Below are 19708 nucleotides of genomic sequence, written 5' to 3' on the forward strand. Positions count from 1 at the left end.
TAAGGATGTGGTAAATGGTATTCATGTCTGTTTCATATGTGCTTAAATAAAAACTCACTATTGTTTAAACTTGTTGGGCTCTTGGATTAAAGTCTGGCACAAGGTTTTTATCAGCAGGAATGCATAACATCACAACTCAGAGAAACTCAAAGATGTAGTTCAATATGATTCGTAAAACAGTTGCAAAAATTGTAAATAGTGCTGCAGTAAACCTATGTATGCATGTGTCTTTATAGTAGAATGATTTATATTCCTTTGGGTATATACCCAGTAATGGGATTGCTGGGTCAAATGGTATCTCTGGTTCCAGATCCTTGAGGAATTGCCATGCTGTCTCCCACAATGGTTGAACTAATTTACATTCCCATCAACAGTGTAAAGCGTTCCTGTTTCTCCACAACCTCGCCAGCATCTGTTGTTTCCTGACTTCTTAATAATTGCCATTCTGACTGGCATGAGATGGTATCTCACTGTGGTTTTGATTTGCATTTCTCTGATGACCAGTGATGTTGAGCTCTTTTTCATATGTTTGTTGGCCAAACAAATGCCTTCTTTTGAGAAGTGTCTGTTCATATCCTTTGCCCACTTTTTGATAGGGTTGTTTGTTTTTTTTCTTGTAAATATGTTTAAGTTCCTTGTAAACTCTGGATATTAGCCCTTTGTCAGATAGGTAGATTTCAAAAATTTTCTCCCATTCTGTAGGTTGCCTGTTCACTCCAACGATACTTTCTTTTGCTGTGTAGAAGCTCTTTAGTTTAATTAAATCCCATTTGTCAATTTTCAATTTTGGCTTTTGTTGCAATTGCTTTTGGCATTTTTGTCATGAAGCTTTTGCCCATATGTCCTGAATGGTATTGTCTAGGTTTTCTTCTAGGGTTTTTATGGTTTTGGGTTTTACATTTAAGTTGTTAATCCATCTTGAGTTAATTTTTGTATAAGGTGTAAGGAAGGGGTCCAGTTTCAGTTTTGTGCATATGGCTAGCCTGTTTTCCCAGCAACATACTGAATAGGAGATCCTTTCCCCATTACATGTTTTTGTCAGGTTTGTCGAAGATCAGATGGTTGTAGATGTGTGGTGTTATTTCTGAGGTGTCTATTCTGCTCCATTGGTCTGTATGTCTGTTTTGGTACCAGTACTATGCTGTTTTGGTTACTGTAGCCTTGTAGTATAGGTTGGAGTCACGTAGCATGATGCCTCCAGCTTTGTTCTTTTTGCTTAGGATTGTCTTGGCAAAAATTGATACTTTAAGTAAGCCCAGAGGAAGCTTATCAAATGTATTAAGAGCACACTTAGGGCAGTAGGGGAAACTCCACACTCCAGATTCTTTCTCTAAAAACTTTTATGAGTAGAGAAGTTGGCAGAAGCCAGGAAGCATCATTTGCTTCCAGTGAGGACCCTGGCTATACTACAAAGGATTCCCCTCACCCAACCTCTCTGGCCTCCAGAGTAGGGGCTCCATTTCACACACCTTTTAGATTAATGTGTGACTATTCAAAAGCTGGTGATTCTCAAGGCTGTGTCTGTTGGGTATAATAACTGATTGGACAGTATTTGGCCAACAAAATCTTGATCATCATTATTTTCAAAGAGCCAGGATTTTCCTCCCTAAAGTTTGTTTGTATGACATGTGTTTCAATTTAGTTTTATAAACAGTAGCTATAACCAATATATTAAGGATAAGTACAGCTTCACAAACATATTCCTGCATAAATAAGAGCAGTCAAATCATCTTTGTTTATGAAAATAATAAGCAAGATAGAATTAAAAAAAAACTTACCCTATTCTGTATTGTGACATCTAGTAGTAATGAGCTCAAAATGTCGCTTTTGGAAGACATGGGCAGGTGGCAGCAGCTCTGTCCTGGTGTCCTGGGCTCACCCTGTAGGAAGTAGCTATTTCAAGAACATTGCAGTTATCCTTTCCTGACCTGACAATCAGTGCTTCTTATTTTCACTGAATATAGTTAGTTAATCATAGAATGGCCCTAACTGTACATTATTACAGGAAGGTTGATATTACCACCTTAGAATGCCATGGTCCTCATTGATGTCCTCAGAGAAGCCATTCTCCTTCCTTAATTAACTGAGTCCATGTAAAGATGTCAGGTGAATACATTTAATTTGGCACAGTGACTTCTATAGCCTTTAGTCTTTACACATTTGTTAATTTTAATTTCTTGCCCTGTACTTTCTAAAAGTAGACATTAAAACACATAAAGCATATACTTTTAACCTATTTTGAATATCTACTGTGTGCCTGGCGCAGACAATATCATTTATTCTTGGATAATAAGGGAAGAAGAAATGGTTCCTTAAGTTGCTCATGATCTTTGGGCCATACAGTATTTAGAAACTAAATGTAGAACAAGTAAATATACAGTAAATCTTTCCTGCATGTGAGTTTCCAAGTTTTTTGTACATTTCTTTGAGCACTGGTGCTGAGTCTCTTCTTTGTGCCCAATAGCATCCTAGAGGATATAGTATCATGATTAAGAGGCTAGGGTCTGAGTCAGCATACATGGGTTCAAAACTCGTCTTCACCATTTAATCTCTCTGAGCCTCAGTTTCTTCATCTGCAAGTGAGAATAATTAGTTCCTACCTTACACAGTTGTTACGAAGATTAGAGATAATGCATATACAGCTGGAAGCTAGTGACTATTGAGTAAACACGGAATAAATGTTAGCTGATATTACTGGGCCTAGTAGGAAGAAGGAGATCTCTACCCTGCCCTCAAGAAATTCACAATCTATTTGGAATATAAAATATATATTGCTGAAACAGCATGGGGAATTCATGAAGCAACATGGGGAAAACTACCGAGGGAGGACATAGATCACATTGTAATTGAAAGGAATCTTAATGGAGCAAGTGAATTTACAAAAAGAGTTAAACTTAAAGCCACACCAATTAAGAAAAGAAGGAGAGAAAGAACTTTTTAAGAAGGGGAATGGCAAATGCAAAGATGTTAGTCAAGTTCTGCTAATGTATAAAGAGTGGCCCATTTTGTCTGGACTAGGTGGGGAGAATATTTTTACTCCCATTTCCGTTTGGAGGAACCAAATCAGAAGTAACTACTAAATGCTGCCTTCATAAGGGATATCAAAATATCAAGATAATTTTTAACCAAGAACTCAGTATATGTTGGAGATAGGCTGTAACTAGGCTTTTGGAACCCCCAATCCAGTGCTGCAACATCCTCCTTCATGGAGTAAAGCCCCGGGTTTAGCCACAGGGGACCCGTTTATTGCCCTTCCTCATCTGTTTGGCTCAACTTCATTCCCTTACTTTTGGATTTGTTTTGCTTTCTGACTATACTGCTTTCCCTGGCTCTTGTACATTTCCCAGTATGTTTATGAAGAGGAAATAACCTAATTACTGAAATGACCAGTGTCATTATGAGACAGACCTCTTAGCAGTGAGACCAAGGTGTTACTTATGTCACTTTCCTTGTTCTTGACTATCTCTTCTGCTTAGATTTTATTTCATTCCTACCATATTCCTACCATAACACATTGTGATGTCTTTATGCCAGTAGAACCCAAATTCAAATTTTGATTGGGGCTGTATATGCTAATATATAACATAGCAAGTCAAGAGCACTTTTTATCTTCAATCTCTGTGAAGTAATGAAAGGCCACTGCTGATTCTCCATAAAGCCAACTTTGAGCACCCTTTTAAACTTTCATTTCCTCCTCATTCCTTATCTTCTTTCTCTGCTTTAATTTTTCTCTATAACATTTGTAACATACTATATATTTTATTTATTTTGTTAAATGCTTAAATGAATGGTAGTACCCTAAGAGAGTCTTATTCTCTCCCACTTGAAAAAACTTGATTAAAAAAATCTAAATTTATATAATTTGATGGATATTGGAGCCTCTAAAATACTAACCTCACTTTGTATATTTTAAAATAGGATTCTGTTTTGCAAATTTGCATATAGTTTGTCAAAAACTCATAACTTGGTCAGGCGCAGTGACTCACGCCTGTAATCCCAGCACTTTGGGAGGCCGAGGTGGGTGGATCATGAGGTCAGGAGATTGAGACCATCCTGGCTAACATGATGAAACCCCGTCCCTACTAAATATACAAAAAAAATTAGCTGGCCATGGTGGCGGGCACCTGTAGTCCCAGCTACTCGGGAGGCTGAGGCAGGAGAATGGCATGAACCTGGGAGGTGGAGCTTGCAGTGAGCCGAGATTGCACCACTGCACTCCAGCCTGGGTGACAGGGTAGGCAACAAAACTCATAACTTTTGTATGATGAAGTACTTACCTAGACCTAGTTTTTGGTTACTCGAGGAATTACACTTAATTCTGAGTCTAGCTTAATACCATTTTAAAATGGTGCTTACTTAGGTGGGTGTACTTCATGCTTGTAGTCTCAGCTACTTGGGAGGCTGAGGCAGGAGGATCACTTGAGCCCAGGTGTTTAAGGCCAGCAAACAAACAAACACAGAAGCACTTACTTGATTTTCGACATACTATGTAATAGCGCCTGTATAGCCATATATACCCACTGAGTGGTTTTGCTAGTAACAGTTATAACTTTATTGTAAGCCTTTTTGAATTGAGAAATACAATGGCTTTTTTACCGTCCTGTTACGTGACCTGTGATTTGCAGTATTTCTTGTTCAGCTAATGTCTTTCAGCAATTAGTTAATTGGTAGTTTGTACCTATATTGACACTAATGTTCTCAACATATAGGGACTTGTTAATGACTGCTATCTTTACTTGGGATAATTAGCATATCAAAGGAGTAGAGCATAATGATAAATTGTACTTGGTTTACTTTCATTTCCAAGGCTAATTGTTGTTGTTTTCTACACCCTTTTGATATTTGCAAAGAGCCTCAATTGAGAATAGTTATGTAAATGAACCATTATGATCTAACCAGAAGTATTTTCTCTTATTAATAGGTGTATCCTTGGCGATACATAGTTCAGACTTGAGTTTTTTTTTAAATAAAATCTTAAGCATAGACTTAAGGAATTAAGGAGATAAATACTGAGAATCTTCCCTATTGAAAGCATTTTCCACTTAATTCCATCATTTATACTGTCAGTCCTGAAACCCAAATATTTCTCTGTTTAGAAAAGCTAGTTCAGTGGCTTATTTCATTCATTTACTCATTCTTTTAGTTATCTCTGCATTAATTCCATTTTTTCCATCAGTTGCTCTGTATGTACTATGTTCCAGACACTGGGGGTGCAAAAATGAACACGAAAATCTCCCAGCCTGCCAGGAACTCACCTATAGTGAATATTCATTATACACTATAGGAACTCCTTTAATCAAGGGCTGAGCCAGATCCACTGTTACATCTCACCAGAATATCATGGCCGTTATTGCTTTACCGTACGTGTGTCAGTGCCTGGCAGACTTTTATAAAGGTGGGGGACAATAGTCTTCTTTAGCTTTATCAGATTCGGTATCTTTCCTCCCATTTTAGCCTTTTGCAGTTTCAAATGGTGCAGATACAGAGCCCTGAAAATGTATACTTGTACGTTTTTAAATGTCCCCTACTATGCTGTAACCATCCCCTGTTTTCCAAATGCTGCCATTAGTGGTTACAGTAATCATCTGTAATGTTAGCTTCTCAGAACCATGGTACAAGAGCTTCTTTTCTAATTTCCCAGATGGGAGGGAACACATGTACATGCTTGTTAGAGTTGCAGAAACTAGAAACAGCACTGTGTGGATTTGTATTTTTGGAATTCTATGGGCTTGTTTAAGCACTCAAATTCAAACTTAGATATCCATTAGGAATCAAATACCATTTCGGGGAAATCTCATGTGCCACACCAACAGGAATAACACATATAAAACGAACTCCTGGAAAAAACTAGTTTCATATTCAGACTCATGTTTTATGTACTTTTTTCAGGATGCCAGATGATAAATGTTGATTATATAAACTAGAGTCATTCCGTTTGTTTGGAGGATTGTCTCTAAGCATTTCCGCTCTTTATTGAAATAGTAGTGAAATTGAAAGTTTAAAAGTCAGAAAGGGAAGTAATTATAAATTACCCATAGGCATATGGAATAAAGCCCCCAATTATAAAGGATTTTGGTGGCCCCTGGTTCTTTGCAGTGTGTTTTTGCAAGGTTATGTGATTTGTAATCATAGCCTCTAGCCTTGACCTTACATAAGAAAACTTAGTCATTGGGGAAAGGTTTCTGAAAGTAAATGTTATTTCTTTTTTAATTGTCTTTTTGACCAATCTAACTCACATAGGGCTACTTCTACACTTAGATCATAAAATGAATTTGTTCCTATGAATGTCTTCAAGCTCAGCTTTAACCTTAGTTTTAGATGTTTGACGAGTGTTAAAGTCATATTATACAATTGAGTAGTTTCTGTTCGTTGCAGACCCTGAGTGTTTTTTACAATTTTCATTCTCATTTTACAGAAAAGAAAGTTCAAGGTTGAATACTCTATCATCTATAAAAGAGCAAGAAGTGATCAGTAAGCTCAGACTCCTGACCTGGGCTCTCCTTTTAAAGTCACTAGTTCTGGAGGACTTGGTGTATTAACAAGGCCAGGAGCAGGGAGCCAGCATTTAGTTTCTAGACATTATTGGTGACAAAAAAATTTGTAAAGTAGGTTCCTGAAAAATCTCTAGATGTAGAGAATAAAAATTAGGGAGGAACATTCCCTTTGTTCACTAATTTATTCATTCAGCTAACATTGAGTGGTTTCCATATGCCAGATACTGTGCTAAGATCCTGCTCTTACCCACTTATCCCCCTCCTCACCCAGTTAGAAACAGAACAAGACCAAACAAAGCTATACTTCTTATATCATGCCACCTAAAAATATATTCCAGAGGTATTGCAAATCTACAATGTACAAATAAAATTATAACAATATAAGATGAAAAACTAGAGAAGCAGTTATAGAATCTCAGAGTTATTGACCGGATTTAACTCTGCAAAAATCTAAATTTTCTGTGATGGCAGAAGAGCCCTCAAATGAAGTAAAAAGTCAAAAAGAGAAAATAACTTTAGCACATGTGACAGAAAAAGATTAAGAAACTCAATGAACAACGACAACAAAGACTAAGAACCTTAAAGCAAGATGGATAATGGATTTGATCAGGAAATTTACAAAAGAAATGTAGATGACCAGTAAATAAGTAAAAAGTTGCTCAGCCTCATTCATTGAATCTAAATGGAGATACCATTTTCCAGATTTTAAAGAGTGGTAACAGCCAGTGTTATCCAGTGATTCAGGATGAGGGGAAGCAGGCTTATACAAACTCACAGGTCCAAATGTGAATTGTTGCAAATATTTTTTTATTTTGTTATTTTTATTTTATTTTATTATTATTATTTTTTTTGAGACAGAGTCTCACTCTGTCAGCCAGGCTGGAGTGCAGTGGCACCATCTCGGCTCACTGCAATCTCCGCCTCCCGGGTTCAAGCAATTCTCCTGCCTCAGCCTCCCAAGTAGCTGGGATTACAGGCATGTGCCACCACGCCTGGCTAATTTTTGTATTTTTAGTAGAGATGGGGTTTACCGTGTTGGCCAGGCTGGTCTTGAACTCCTGACCTCAGGTAATCCACCCACCTCGGCCTCCCAAAGTGCTGGGATTACAGGTGTGAGCCACCGCGCCCGGCCTGTTGCAAAATTTTTAGAAAATAATCTGTCAAATTCTTTTGAAATGTAAAATGTTCATAACCTTTGACCCAAGAAGCTCAGTTTTAATTCTCTATTTAAAAATATAAGTTCCACTACTAACAAATGCACACACACAAATGTACATACACTGAGACAAGCATACACACACAAAAGAATATTTATTGCAGCACTATCAAGTGGCCAAGAATTGTGAACAACCTGAAGTTTGTTGCTAAGGAAATGGTTTAATAAAAAATAAATCCATGCCATGGAATATTATGTGGCTATTTAAAAAGCAGTTGATAGAGCGATATGATTCCTTTAGGGAAAACAAAACAGAAGGTTAAAGAGCTGTTTATATGCAAATGTGTATATGTTTTTATGAGCATAAAGAAAGTAGTTTGAAGCTACCTACACACACAGTTAATATTGGTTACCTTGAAAAGTGGGGGTGAGAGAGGGGTGGAAGAGCTTTTACTTTATAAATTTCTGTATGGTTTGACTTGTTAAGACAAGCCTAAATTTTGTAATCTAAAATTTTTTTTTAATTTTATTTTATTATTATTATACTTTAAGTTTTAGGGTACATGTGCACAATGTGCAGGTTAGTTACATATGTATACATGTGCCATGCTGGTGTGCTGCACCCATTAACTCGTCATTTAGCATTACGTATATCTCCTAATGCTATCCCTCCCCCCTCCCCCCACCCCACAACAGTCCCCAGAGTGTGATGTTCCCCTTCCTGTGTCCATGTGTTCTCATTGTTCAGTTCCCACCTATGAGTGAGAACATGCGGTGTTTGGTTTTTTGTCCTTGCGATAGTTTACTGAGAATGATGATTTCCAGTTTCATCCATGTCCCTACAAAGGACATGAACTCATCATTTTTTATGGCTGCATAGTATTCCATGGTGTATATGTGCCACATTTTCTTAATCCAGTCTATCATTGTTGGACATTTGGGTTGGTTCCAAGTCTTTGCTATCGTGAATAGTGCCGCAATAAACATACGTGTGCATGTGTCTTTATAGCAGCATGATTTATAGTCCTTTGGGTATATACCCAGTAATGGGATGGCTGGGTCAAATGGTATTTCTAGTTCTAGATCCCTGAGGAATCGCCACACTGACTTCCACAATGGTTGAACTAGTTTACAGTCCCACCAACAGTGTAAAAGTGTTCCTATTTCTCCACATCCTCTCCAGCGCCTGTTGTTTCCTGGCTTTTTAATGATGCCATTCTAATTGGTGTGAGATGGTATCTCACTGTGGTTTTGATTTGCATTTCTCTGATGGCCAGTGATGGTGAGCATTTTTTCATGTGTTTTTTGGCTGCATAAATGTCTTCTTTTGAGAAGTGTCTGTTCATGTCCTTCGCCCACTTTTTGATGGGGTTGTTTTTTTCTTGTAAATTTGTTTGAGTTCATTGTAGATTCTGGATATTAGCCCTTTGTCAGATGAGTAGGTTGCGAAAATTTTCTCTGATTTTGTAGGTTGCCTGTTCACTCTGATGGTAGTTTCTTTTGCTGTGCAGAAGCTCTTTAGTTTAATTAGATCCCATTTGTCAATTTTGGCTTTTGTTGCCATTGCTTTTGGTATTTTAGACATGAAGTCCTTAATTTTTTAAAAAAGAAAGAAAACGGAAAGGGAAGTGGCCAAAGAGACAAGAAAAGACCATCAAGAAAAGAGAGTTTCGAGAGGCAAGTGGTCACCCATGTCAAATACTGTTTAGACATCAAGTAAGAAAAGGGCAGAGAAGCATTTGGTGTGTTTAGTGGTTACCCTTAGTGGGAATGGTCTTCATGAACTTGTGGGGTCAGTAGTAGGCTATCGTTGTGGGCTAAGGGTAAGTGGAAGAGAAGGGAATAGAGAGTGTGTAGATATCTCTTCCAAGCAGTCTGTGAAGGGGAGGAGCGAGAGGAGAGGGAATCCAAGGAGCTCTGTAGAGTTCAACAAGATTCTTTCCTTTCCTTTAAAAATGTTTCTTTTTTAGGATGGGAGAGACTTGTGGTTCTTGTCCCTGTGTATACATGTCACACTCATCCATCTTATACACACAAGAGAATGCAGAGCAAGGAGACCGAAGGTTCCGGAGTTGAGCAGGATGAGTGATGGCCAGCTTCCCAGGATGAAGGAAAAGAAGGGGTGGCATGACAGACAAAAGACATTGTATTTGAGGTTGAAGATACAATGTCAAGCTCATGAGTAGTGAGTCTTTTTTTTTTTTTTTTGAGGTGGAGTCTCGCTCTGTTGCCCAGGCTGGAGTGCAGTGGTGCCATCTCCGCTCACTGCAAGCTCCGCCTCCCGGGTTCATGCCATTCTCCTGCCTCAGCGTCCCAAGCAGCTGGGACTACAGGTGCCCACCACCACGCCCGGCTAATTTTGTTTTTTTGTATTTTTAGTAGAGACCGGGTTTCACCGTGTTAGCCAGGATGGTCTCGATTTCCTGACCTCGTGATCCGCCCGCCTCAGCCTCCCAAAGTGCTGGGATTACAGGCATGAGCCACCGCGCCCAGCCGAGTAATGAGTCTTAAAGTCTAGGTGTGACCCTTCCCTCTCTTGCTGCTGGTGTGGCTGCTGAACCTTCCTAAGGACCTATGAACTGATCCAGAAATATAGGTCCGTTCTTACCAGTCTCTATGAGTGAAAGATGTTAAGTGTTTAACACATATTAAGTGTTTAGTAATTAAGTGTTTAAAATTTTTATATTTGACTTGGAGCCACTACCAACCAAAAATAAATTAAGGGTTATTAAAATTTGGTATTCACAAATTAAAATCAATGTGTGCCACGAGATTTATTTTAATTCAGTATTTTATTCAGAAGTCTGGCAGACACTTGGTGCTTGGCAATAATCATAAAGCACATGCACATAGTTGTAAATTCCACAGTTTTGATTCAGGACACTTCATCAGTGTATCATCAGCGTTGGCTTGAGTTGGTTATAATATTCAGTTCCTGCTATTCTTGCTTTTTAATTATAAATTACAGTAAGTTTAGTTTTATCATTATCAGTTTAGTTTATTGTGTGTTATTTGGTTAATCTCAAATGTTTATTGGTACATACTTGGATCAACAATGTTTTGTCTTATAGTGTTCTTATAACTAGACTTTTAAGATATGTATGTCTCATGATTCACATATGAATCATCCATTATCATTTTGCCAAAGTAGATGTGTACCTAACCCCCTTGTCATTTGCTTGTATGGTGACACTCTTCATGGTGATATGTTTCCTGCAAATTTTTGCTATTTAAATAGCTTACAACATACTGTCAAGGTAGGTGTAAGAAAATTACTGGATATTTTAATGTTTTTTGATGTTGTAGGATGTAAATTATGTTTATAGTAATATGTTTACTGCAACTTAATTATATTTTTGCTGAATTCTTTGTTACCACCAGGTTCACTACCCGCCCCCTACCTCCTGAATGTGGGAACAAGTGAGATAGGTGGAGGTCTTTCGCTTTGCTGTGGTGGGCTTTGCTCAGAAAGTTTAAAATCCATCCCTCTAGAGGAGTGGGTAGGTGTGTGGAAAGGATGTGCAAAGCAGCTAAGCTAAAGTGGAATAAGGGTAACTCACAGTCATGGCTTCAATGCCAGTGGACTGTGAGCTTGACACTAATAAGATGTTAGGAGAACAGGTGCTGATGTTGTGTTTTCACTTCTTGTTTAAGGATGTAAATGAAGACCCTGGAGAAGATGTGGCCCTCCTCTCTGTTAGTTTTGAGGACACTGAAGCCACCCAGGTGTACCCCAAGCTGTACTTGTCACCTCGAATTGAGCAGTAAGTGTCATTAACATGAGGTAGCCTGGTGCTACTTCTTGCTAACCAATATGTCTCATTCTTTCTTTTGCCACTCTTGAACTCTTACATTTATTTCTCTTCATTGACTTTTGTTTTCTTAAAAAATTCATCATATTAAGAGTTTCCATTGCAGAGTAAATGCAGTTAGTACTTGCCACTACACCCTTTTGGCAAGTGTTATTGTGCATTTAGTGACATGAATACTGTACCTTTGTAGAGAGAAAAGAATAGGCAGACTGAGTCCAAAATTGAGACTCCTTCCAGATGTTCCCTGGAGTTCGAATGGTTGTAGCCTACAGTGGGCTGCTAAACATCTGGCCCAATTTCTTACTTATTTGTAACTATTAATGTTATTTGTAAAATGTAACTAGCCTCTTCAAAATATTTAGCAAAAACTGACTCAGAAGTTAGTAAAGCTAATATTAAAAGTAGATAGCTTAAAAAGATAACATGTTTTATTTTGCTGCATCGAAATAGCTGCGTATAATTTTACACAACATTCAGGCTACATGGCAGAAGTAGTTTGATATCGCATTTGTGTTATAACCAAGTAACATTATTCATCAGTAATGAATTTTGTAAGGCCTGAATTCACAGTGTGCTTATTGTGGGTGAAATGCTTTAGTAGCTTATTCTACTTCAAAGGAAGCTGAGGTTCATTGAAAATGGATTATAAGCAGATTTGGTTGGGAACTTCTGACAGGACAGATTTTTCATCAGCAGAGAGAGTTTTTACAGACTCTGATTGAAATGTATTATTAAAATTCTCTGTGAGTCATTTAGTTACAGTTGGCTGATTTCTGTCTGTGAGTAGATGTGGTCACTATCTAGCATTCTTAGTAAAAATACTGAGCCATTTTTACCCCTTCCGACCTTAGTTGCTCTAATTTATAAATCATGGACACATCATCTTAAAAACCAATATGACACAGCTGTTTATACTCAAATATGGGAGCTTATGAACATCAATAATCTATAGGCATTCTCTTGTCTTTTTATATATCTGACACAGCACTTAGAACAGGATTTTACAGTAGCAGACACTCAATGAATGTTTAATTTTTGTTTTGAGACAGCGTCTCACTCTGTCACCCAGGCTGGAGTGTAGTGGCATGCTTATGGCTCACTGCAGCCTTGACCTCCTGGGCTCAAGTGACCCTCCTACCTCAGTCTCCCAAGTGGCTAGGACTCCAGGTGCCACCATGCATGCCTAATGTTTTTATTTTTATTTTTGTAGAGACCGGGTCTCGCTCTATTGCCCAGGCTAGTCTCAAACTCCTAGGCTCAAGTGATTCTGCTGCCTCGGCCTCCCAAAGAATGTTTCTGTTTTTTGTTTTTTGTTTGTTTGTTTGTTTTGAGACAGAGTCTCACTCTGTCATCCAGGCTGGAGTGCAGTGGTGCAATCTCGGCTCACTGCAACCTCCACCTTCTGGGTTCAAGTGATTCTCGGGTTTCAGCCTCCCGAGTACCTGGGACTACAGGCACCAGCCACCACGCCCAGCTAATTTTTTGTATTTTCATTAGAGACAGAGTTTCACCATGTTGGCCAAGCTGGTCTCGAACTCCTGACCTCAGGTGATCTGCCCGCTTCGGCCTCCCAAAGTGCTAGGATTACAGGCATGAGCCACAGTGCCTGGCCCCAAAGAGTGTTTTATTATTATTATTATTATTATTATTATTTTTTTTTTTTTTTTTTTTGAGACGGAGTCTCGCTCTGTCGCCCAGGCTGGAGTGCAGTGGCGCAATCTCGGCTCACTGCAAGCTCCGCCTCCCGGGTTCACGCCATTCTCCTGCCTCAGCCTCCCAAGTAGCTGGGACTACAGGCGCCCGCCACTACGCCCGGCTAATTTTTTGTATTTTTAGTAGAGACGGGGTTTCACCGTTTTAGCCGGGATGGTCTCGATCTCCTGACCTCGTGATCCGCCCGCCTCGGCCTCCCAAAGTGCTGGGATTACAGGCGTGAGCCACCGCGCCCGGCCTATTATTTTTTAATTGAAAATACTGACCCATATTAGTAAGCGATCAGTGGATACCAGAGGCAGTAGAATGACGTGGCATAAGGCAAGGGCTCTGAGTCAAGCAGATCTAGTTTAAACCTGGTTCCTGCCACTCACCAGCTGTCACAAAATGTAACTTCTCTGAGCTTGTTTCCTCAGTCATAAAATAGACATAATAATACCTATTTCTTAGTGTTGTTTTCAGGATTATATTAATACTGTTCATAAAGCATTAATCACAGTGCCTGGCACTACAGTAAACACTCAGCAAGTAATAGCCATGAATATTATTATTATTGATACAGTTCATAGGAGAAGAACGAGTGAGTGTTTAGCAGGGATAAGTTGGGGCAGAAAAGGAGAGGATGGGTAAATAAGGGAGCAAGTACCAGTTCTAGCGTAGCCACTCATTGTGTAACTAATGAGTTAAATTACAAAGGTGCTTTGGTGATGAGCAAAGAGTTAATGAAACAATCGCAAGATGTGGGCAATATGAATATATTAGTTAAGCTGCAGGCAATAATTTGCCAGCTCAGAAAAACATTTGTTCCAGCAGCTAGGTTGTTTTTCTTGGAAGTTACTACACCTAATTTGCAAATAAACTTGCTAATGAAATAGTCTCACTCTAAAAATCTAACGTGTGGGAAATGATTAGGGAAGGGTATATTTTAAAAGTCATTTTTCCAATCTCCAAAGTCCAGCTCTCTCATGTCCTTCCTCCCTTTTTTTTCTTTCTTCTTCTTCTTTTTTTTTTTTTTGAGACGGAATCTCGTTCCGTCCCCCAGGCTGGAGTGCAGTGGCACCATCTCCGCTCACTGCAAGCTCCGCCTCCCGGGTTCACGCCATTCTCCTGCCTCAGCCTCCCGAGTAGCTGGGACTACAGGCGCCCGCCACCACGCCCGGCTAATTTTTTGTATTTTTAGTAGAGACGGGGTTTCACCATGTTAGCCAGGATGGTCTCAAACTCCTGACCTCGTGATCCACCCACCTCGGCCTCCCAAAGTGCTGAGATTACAGGCGTGAGCCACCACGCCTGGCCTCTTCTTCTTTCTTACGTTAAGAGCTCTCCACAGCATACCCTTTTAGATCATTTTTCGGTTGCTTCCCCTCATATACTGTTTCCTTCAGCCAGACCTGAGCACTTGAAGTTTTCTTACATTGCCAGCACTCTCTTGCCTCTGTGCTTTTGCTAAAGCTGCTCCTTCCATGTACAAGGCCCTTCTCTAACCCCTCTTCCTGTTGAAATACTATACTTTTTCTAAGGCCTTATTCAAATACCATCTCTACCAACCATTTTCCCTGAGGACAATTAGTCTAGCCTTCCCCAGAGCTCTTTGTAACACTGAATTTATATTAATCTTATAATCTATATTTATATTATAATCTACCCATCATAGCTTTAATTGGTGATAAGGATTTTTAAAAATCTTTTGCTGAATTGCAAGCTACTTATTGAGTTGAGGAACAAGTCTTTTTTTTAATGCCGTGCATAAATGCAATACACAGTTATCAATTGCCTAATTGGCAGTCTTCTAGGTGAATAAGTAGTTCTCACCAAAATATTGGAAAATGCCTCACTGAAAGGTCTTATACTTTTCCTGGTTGCTACAAATTCACTTGGTAGAACTACGTTTATAATACCAAAACAAACTACCAAACATTCTTATATCTTTAAGTAGAAGTTTTCAAAATGAGGTTTTAGAGAAAGATTAACATAAAAGAAGTAAACTTGGGGTATGACTTCTATAAGGGCTTAGATATTTGCTAAAGTTATTAATACTTGTGGTTAATTCTTCCAGAGTTCAGAGCATAGAACAGACATGCCATTTCAAGAAGGCTGTAGTCATGGGATAGGTTTTGAGAACTGACTGTGCTAAGCTCTCATTTATTTTCTGTGTTTTATACTATCTTGTCAACTTTGAGCTATCCAAGCATTGATTATCGATTCAGACTTGGAGAGTTCTTTCAGGAGTCATGGGAAAAGCATCCCATGTGGACCCGCCCAAAGCCAACGTCAAACTCTTGCCCTAGCTGAGGCTTGTACTCCTTTTGGTTTCTGCTATGGCTCTTTCTAGGAAGTCCCAAGCCCCATGCAGTGCATTTGACAGGGAGAGGCTCAGGAGAGACCAATAGCCCCATCCACACTGGGTAAAAATTACCAAGAGAAGGCTTGCATTCCCACCATCTCCTCCATGGGCATAGAGAGATATCGTGGGCCTGGGAGGAACCCCATTCCAGTCTGACTGTTCCTCTGTCCCAGCTTGTCCATGCAGGAGGCAAAGATATTATACTCACGTTAACTACTCCCAGCAATTGGAAAAGAAAAGGGCTACTTTTGGGTCTTGTCATCATATGTAGGAAAAAATATTGATTTGTTGTACCCTAAAAAGACTACAAATTAGACAATCCTGACAAAAGAGAACATCAGTCAGATTCATTGGTAGAAGACTCTGAGATGTGTTCTAATTTGATGAAGCTCTGAAATGTGATCCCACTTCTGAAGTCTGTTTGCCCAGGGTCGTGGAATAGTTGTCTGGTGTCCCTGGCAGCCCTGCCGCACGTGGCTGCACGCCCTTACGATGCTTAGATGCATATTGTTTACCGGTCTCCCACTGCGCATTTCTATGACTTGCAGAGTAAATGCTTCTGAGAAGAACTTTGTGTTCTTGCACAAGGGACATTTATGAAATAAACATATTTCTGGCCCTATACATTTGTCTTCCAAGGAACCAAAACCAATCCGTTGAATTAGACACGAGTAAGTTCTGTTAATTAAAAAAAAAAAAAAGTCAATGGTGAGTTATGCAAAAAAAAAAAAAAAAAGCTAGTAGTCAATGATGCAAATTAGATTTTGGTTGAATATTAGAAAAGGGGAAAAAATAGTTTCTAAACCAGTTGCTTTTTTTTCCCCTGGCAGAAAAGCTGTGAGTTTTAAGGTTACATCATCAGAGCTGGCGTGAAACATGCTCTACCTTTCCCTCTTCCCCAGACTGTTGGCAGTTGTTGTAGTGAACCCAAAGGTTAAATGGGCATGAGAGTCTGCATAGCACTCTTCCACGAAAGGTGTGGGCCCTTTTCTTGGCTTGAGCCACTTTGTGGGAGTGGTTTAAAGACAACCAGCTTCCTCATTCCCTGTGCTGTTCCCACTCTGTGCATAAAAAGAGGACTTCAGCCCTGAGGCAGACCAGGTGGCATCTTTCACAAGTACAGAATTTGTTTTTAGAACTTTTTGTTAAGTTACATCTGCCTTGGAAATGAGTACTCAAAACTTCCCAGCCCACGAACGCTCACTATTATTGAGGCCTGTGTACCTGCAATATGCATGTTTGTTCTTTCAGGCAACAGAAACCCAATGAGAATCAACCACATGTGAGGCCCTTTGCTAGGTGCTTCAGAGGCTGTCAGCATAAATGAAATGTGGCTCATCTCCTTAATTTCCTCAAAGTAAGAGGGATCAGAACAAATATGGCAAGTTGTGACTTGTGGATTAATAGAAAAGGCATATTAATACATGGCATCAGAAGCCCCCTGTTCCTTCACTTATTGGCTGGCAATCTTGGCTTAAGTTAACGTTTTTGAGCTTCATTTCATCTTCTGTGAAGAGGAATAAATCTAAGTTTCAGTTTCATCTACTCCAAGTGGGGAGGTAGATGAGAAAGGCCCTACTGTAGTGCTTGGCCCATGGTTGATGCTTAGTTAGTGCTCCTTGAGAAAATACTTATTAAGTGCTATAAGAGTTCAAGAGAGTGGGAGATCACATTTCCATTTGACTTGGTGGAGAAGGAGCTTTGGAAGATTATGGAAAGCCTGGCTTTTCTAGAGATTAAATATGCAATACTGTAACAATAACAGATATGTATTTGTTCAGTACTTTAAAATATTCAAACTGCTTTTCACTTTACCATCCCATCTGATCCTCATGATAGTATGTCTATCATGTGTTTTATAATATAGCTTTTTTCTTCCATAACTTGGAGTTTTTAGATCCTTCCTTGTCTCCTTCACTGCTACTCCTTCCTTTTTTCAACCCATTAAATTATGCTAAATTGTGCTTCCTGTGATAACATCCCTAGACACTTTTGTGGCATTGCCTGTTTGTGGATGACACCCAGATCCCCATTTCTAATCTCAGCATTTCTCCCTGCTTACAGATCTGCTTCTCTAACCACTAGATAGACATGTCTATCTGTGTGTTCAGTTGACACCTCAAATTTAAAGGGCCTGAAACTAAACTCATCATTCCCCCAATAAGCTAATGTTTCTTCTTTACAGCCTGTTTTTATTCATGACACTCTTGTCTTCTTGGTGCCCAGGTGGTACATCTTAAAGGCATTGACCATACCTCATGCCCCTATTAGCCAGCCAGTTGTTTTGGACTAAAAACCCACTCTCCACAATGTCTCTGAGTCTTGTCATGCCTACTATCATTACCTAGTTCAGTCTTCCAGTTGCCATGGGTCCTGAGGGGCTCTTAACTTCTAGTTCCTTCCTATTTCAGTTTATCCATGTGGAACTGTCACTGTCCTTTGAAGTAAATTCCAGTCCTGTAATGTCCTTGCTGAGAAGCTTCAATGCCTCTCTGTTGCCAAGCGAAGTAAATGCACAGCTCTCCATCTGGCATTCAGATTCCGTGTTACAGTCCTGTTCACTTTTCCACCCTAGGCTGGACTCTACGTGTATCCTGTTGTCCAGCCAAGCAGAATTTTGTGATTTCCCGAACACATCTTGTATTTTTTTCACTTCCATACCTTGCTCAGGCTGCTCCTTAGACCAGAACATTGAGTTTATTTACCTCCCCCACAGGGTCCGTTAAAGTCCTGCCCATGTTCTTAGATCTTCTCAATCATCACCTCCTCCATGGAACATTTCCTGACCGCCACTGCCTGCCTCCACAATGGCACCACACTTTTTCCCTGTGTTTATGCCTCCTTTGTCATATTGCCTCCCTGGACTCTAAACTCTTTAAGGCCTGGGCCTCTTTTCCATCAGTTGAGGGCTGGTGAGCCACAGCCCCTCTGGCCAGGCTGGCCCTAGCCAGGCCCCTGCCCAAGCTCAACCACAGTCTCCATTGACAGGTCTGGCTGGAGAGGCAGAAAGCTGTGACACTATGTGCATGTTAAGGCGGTGGGCTTTCACAGTCATTTCTTATTGCTGTGCCTTGTGGCTAGCCAGGAGGATACTTTCCTTTATGGTCGCCTGTTCATGTTTCTGAGAGGTGGAGCCCTGTTTCATAAGAGCGGTTTATCAACTGAATCCTGGAGGTGGAATATGACTTTGATCTTCTGTGACCTATGTGACCTAATATAGTCCTGTTGGCGTCTCCAGCCTCCCCTCCCCTGCCTTTACCCCACAGCGTGCCTGGCAGCAAACATGGTCTCTTGGAATATTTGGATAGCCTGGGATCTACAAGGGCTGGGATAAAGTGAAACTTGGCTAAAGGACCTAGGGAAAGGGTGAGGGGAACTGAAAATTAAAATAATACTACTTAAAATTATGAATGAGTAAGGATATTACATTCGGATAAATTGGATCAAATACGTTTTTTAAAAGCAATAAGCAAGTTAAATATATTGGTATATGTGATTTTATTTACCACCAAATTTGATATCTTAACAGAATGGAAAATTTTTATTTTAGATGCTTAAAATATTTTTAAAACAATGAGAAAAATTGTATAACTAACAGGTATAGATTTTAAAGAAAAAAATTCTTGCCTTGAAAAAAAATCCGTATCAGTCTTCTCAAAAAAGAGACCTTCCAGATCTCTTAGGCTGATTTTGTGTCAGGATTTAAGTAATAGAACGTAATAGTAAACATGGTTTAATTTAGCCTTACTCATGTTTTCTCGAGTCACTGAGATAATCCTATAATAAATATTGTGCTCCTGGAGAGTTTTTTTCTTTAGTCCTTTGATAAATAGATGGTCCTGAGTATGCTAAGACAGCCAGCTCTCAGGAGAAGATATGTATTTGATTTTGGTAGAGAGAGCTGTCTTATCCTCTAGGGACTTGAGATGTTCGTTTTACTAGTCTGGGAGCAGGGCCAAAAGGGTTCTTCATGACTTAGAATGGAATTCTGAAAAGTAAGTTCAGCAAGTTTTCATTAGTGAGTTTGGCCTTTTGTCTTGCCTGTGCCTCCCAAAAGATCAAGAGCTCAGCCTTTGCTTTGAAATATTACAAAAAAGAACCAGAACAGAATTTAGTTGGGGGAGAAAATCAATCAGCCCCAAAATATCATATTTTTGGAAACATTCTGGTGTAGAACTCCCACCTCCCT

At 39.6% G+C, this 19708-nt stretch overlaps 1 protein-coding gene across 14 annotated transcripts in view, besides 2 other annotated features; it reads left to right on the forward strand.

Moving 5' to 3' along the window:
• BABAM2 (BRISC and BRCA1 A complex member 2) overlaps window positions 1-19708 on the forward strand; it is a 450193-nt gene that overhangs the window by 229258 nt on the left and 201227 nt on the right. For all 14 annotated transcript variants that reach the window (NR_137438.2, NR_137440.2, NR_137439.2 and 11 more), the window contains one exon: window positions 11305-11414. Coding sequence is in view for 10 of the 14 variants with exons in the window: in NM_001329112.1 (NP_001316041.1) it covers window positions 11305-11414 (110 nt within the window). In the remaining 4 variants the exon portion in view is untranslated. The remainder of the gene's footprint in view (window positions 1-11304; window positions 11415-19708) is intronic.
• Window positions 7553-7743: a silencer, noted in NCBI's record as "fragment chr2:28348386-28348576 (GRCh37/hg19 assembly coordinates)". NCBI's record gives its function as "represses an EF-1alpha promoter that drives an FKBP-Casp9 reporter gene in an ReSE screen in K562 erythroleukemia cells {active_cell/tissue: K562}" and the evidence as "EXISTENCE:reporter gene assay evidence [ECO:0000049][PMID:32094911]".
• Window positions 17423-17623: a silencer, noted in NCBI's record as "peak3638 fragment used in MPRA reporter construct". NCBI's record gives its function as "represses an SCP1 promoter by STARR-seq MPRAs in K562 erythroleukemia cells {active_cell/tissue: K562}" and the evidence as "EXISTENCE:reporter gene assay evidence [ECO:0000049][PMID:32103011]".

Source organism: Homo sapiens, chromosome 2, assembly GCF_000001405.40.
Source record: "Homo sapiens chromosome 2, GRCh38.p14 Primary Assembly".
NCBI lineage: Eukaryota > Metazoa > Chordata > Mammalia > Primates > Hominidae > Homo > Homo sapiens.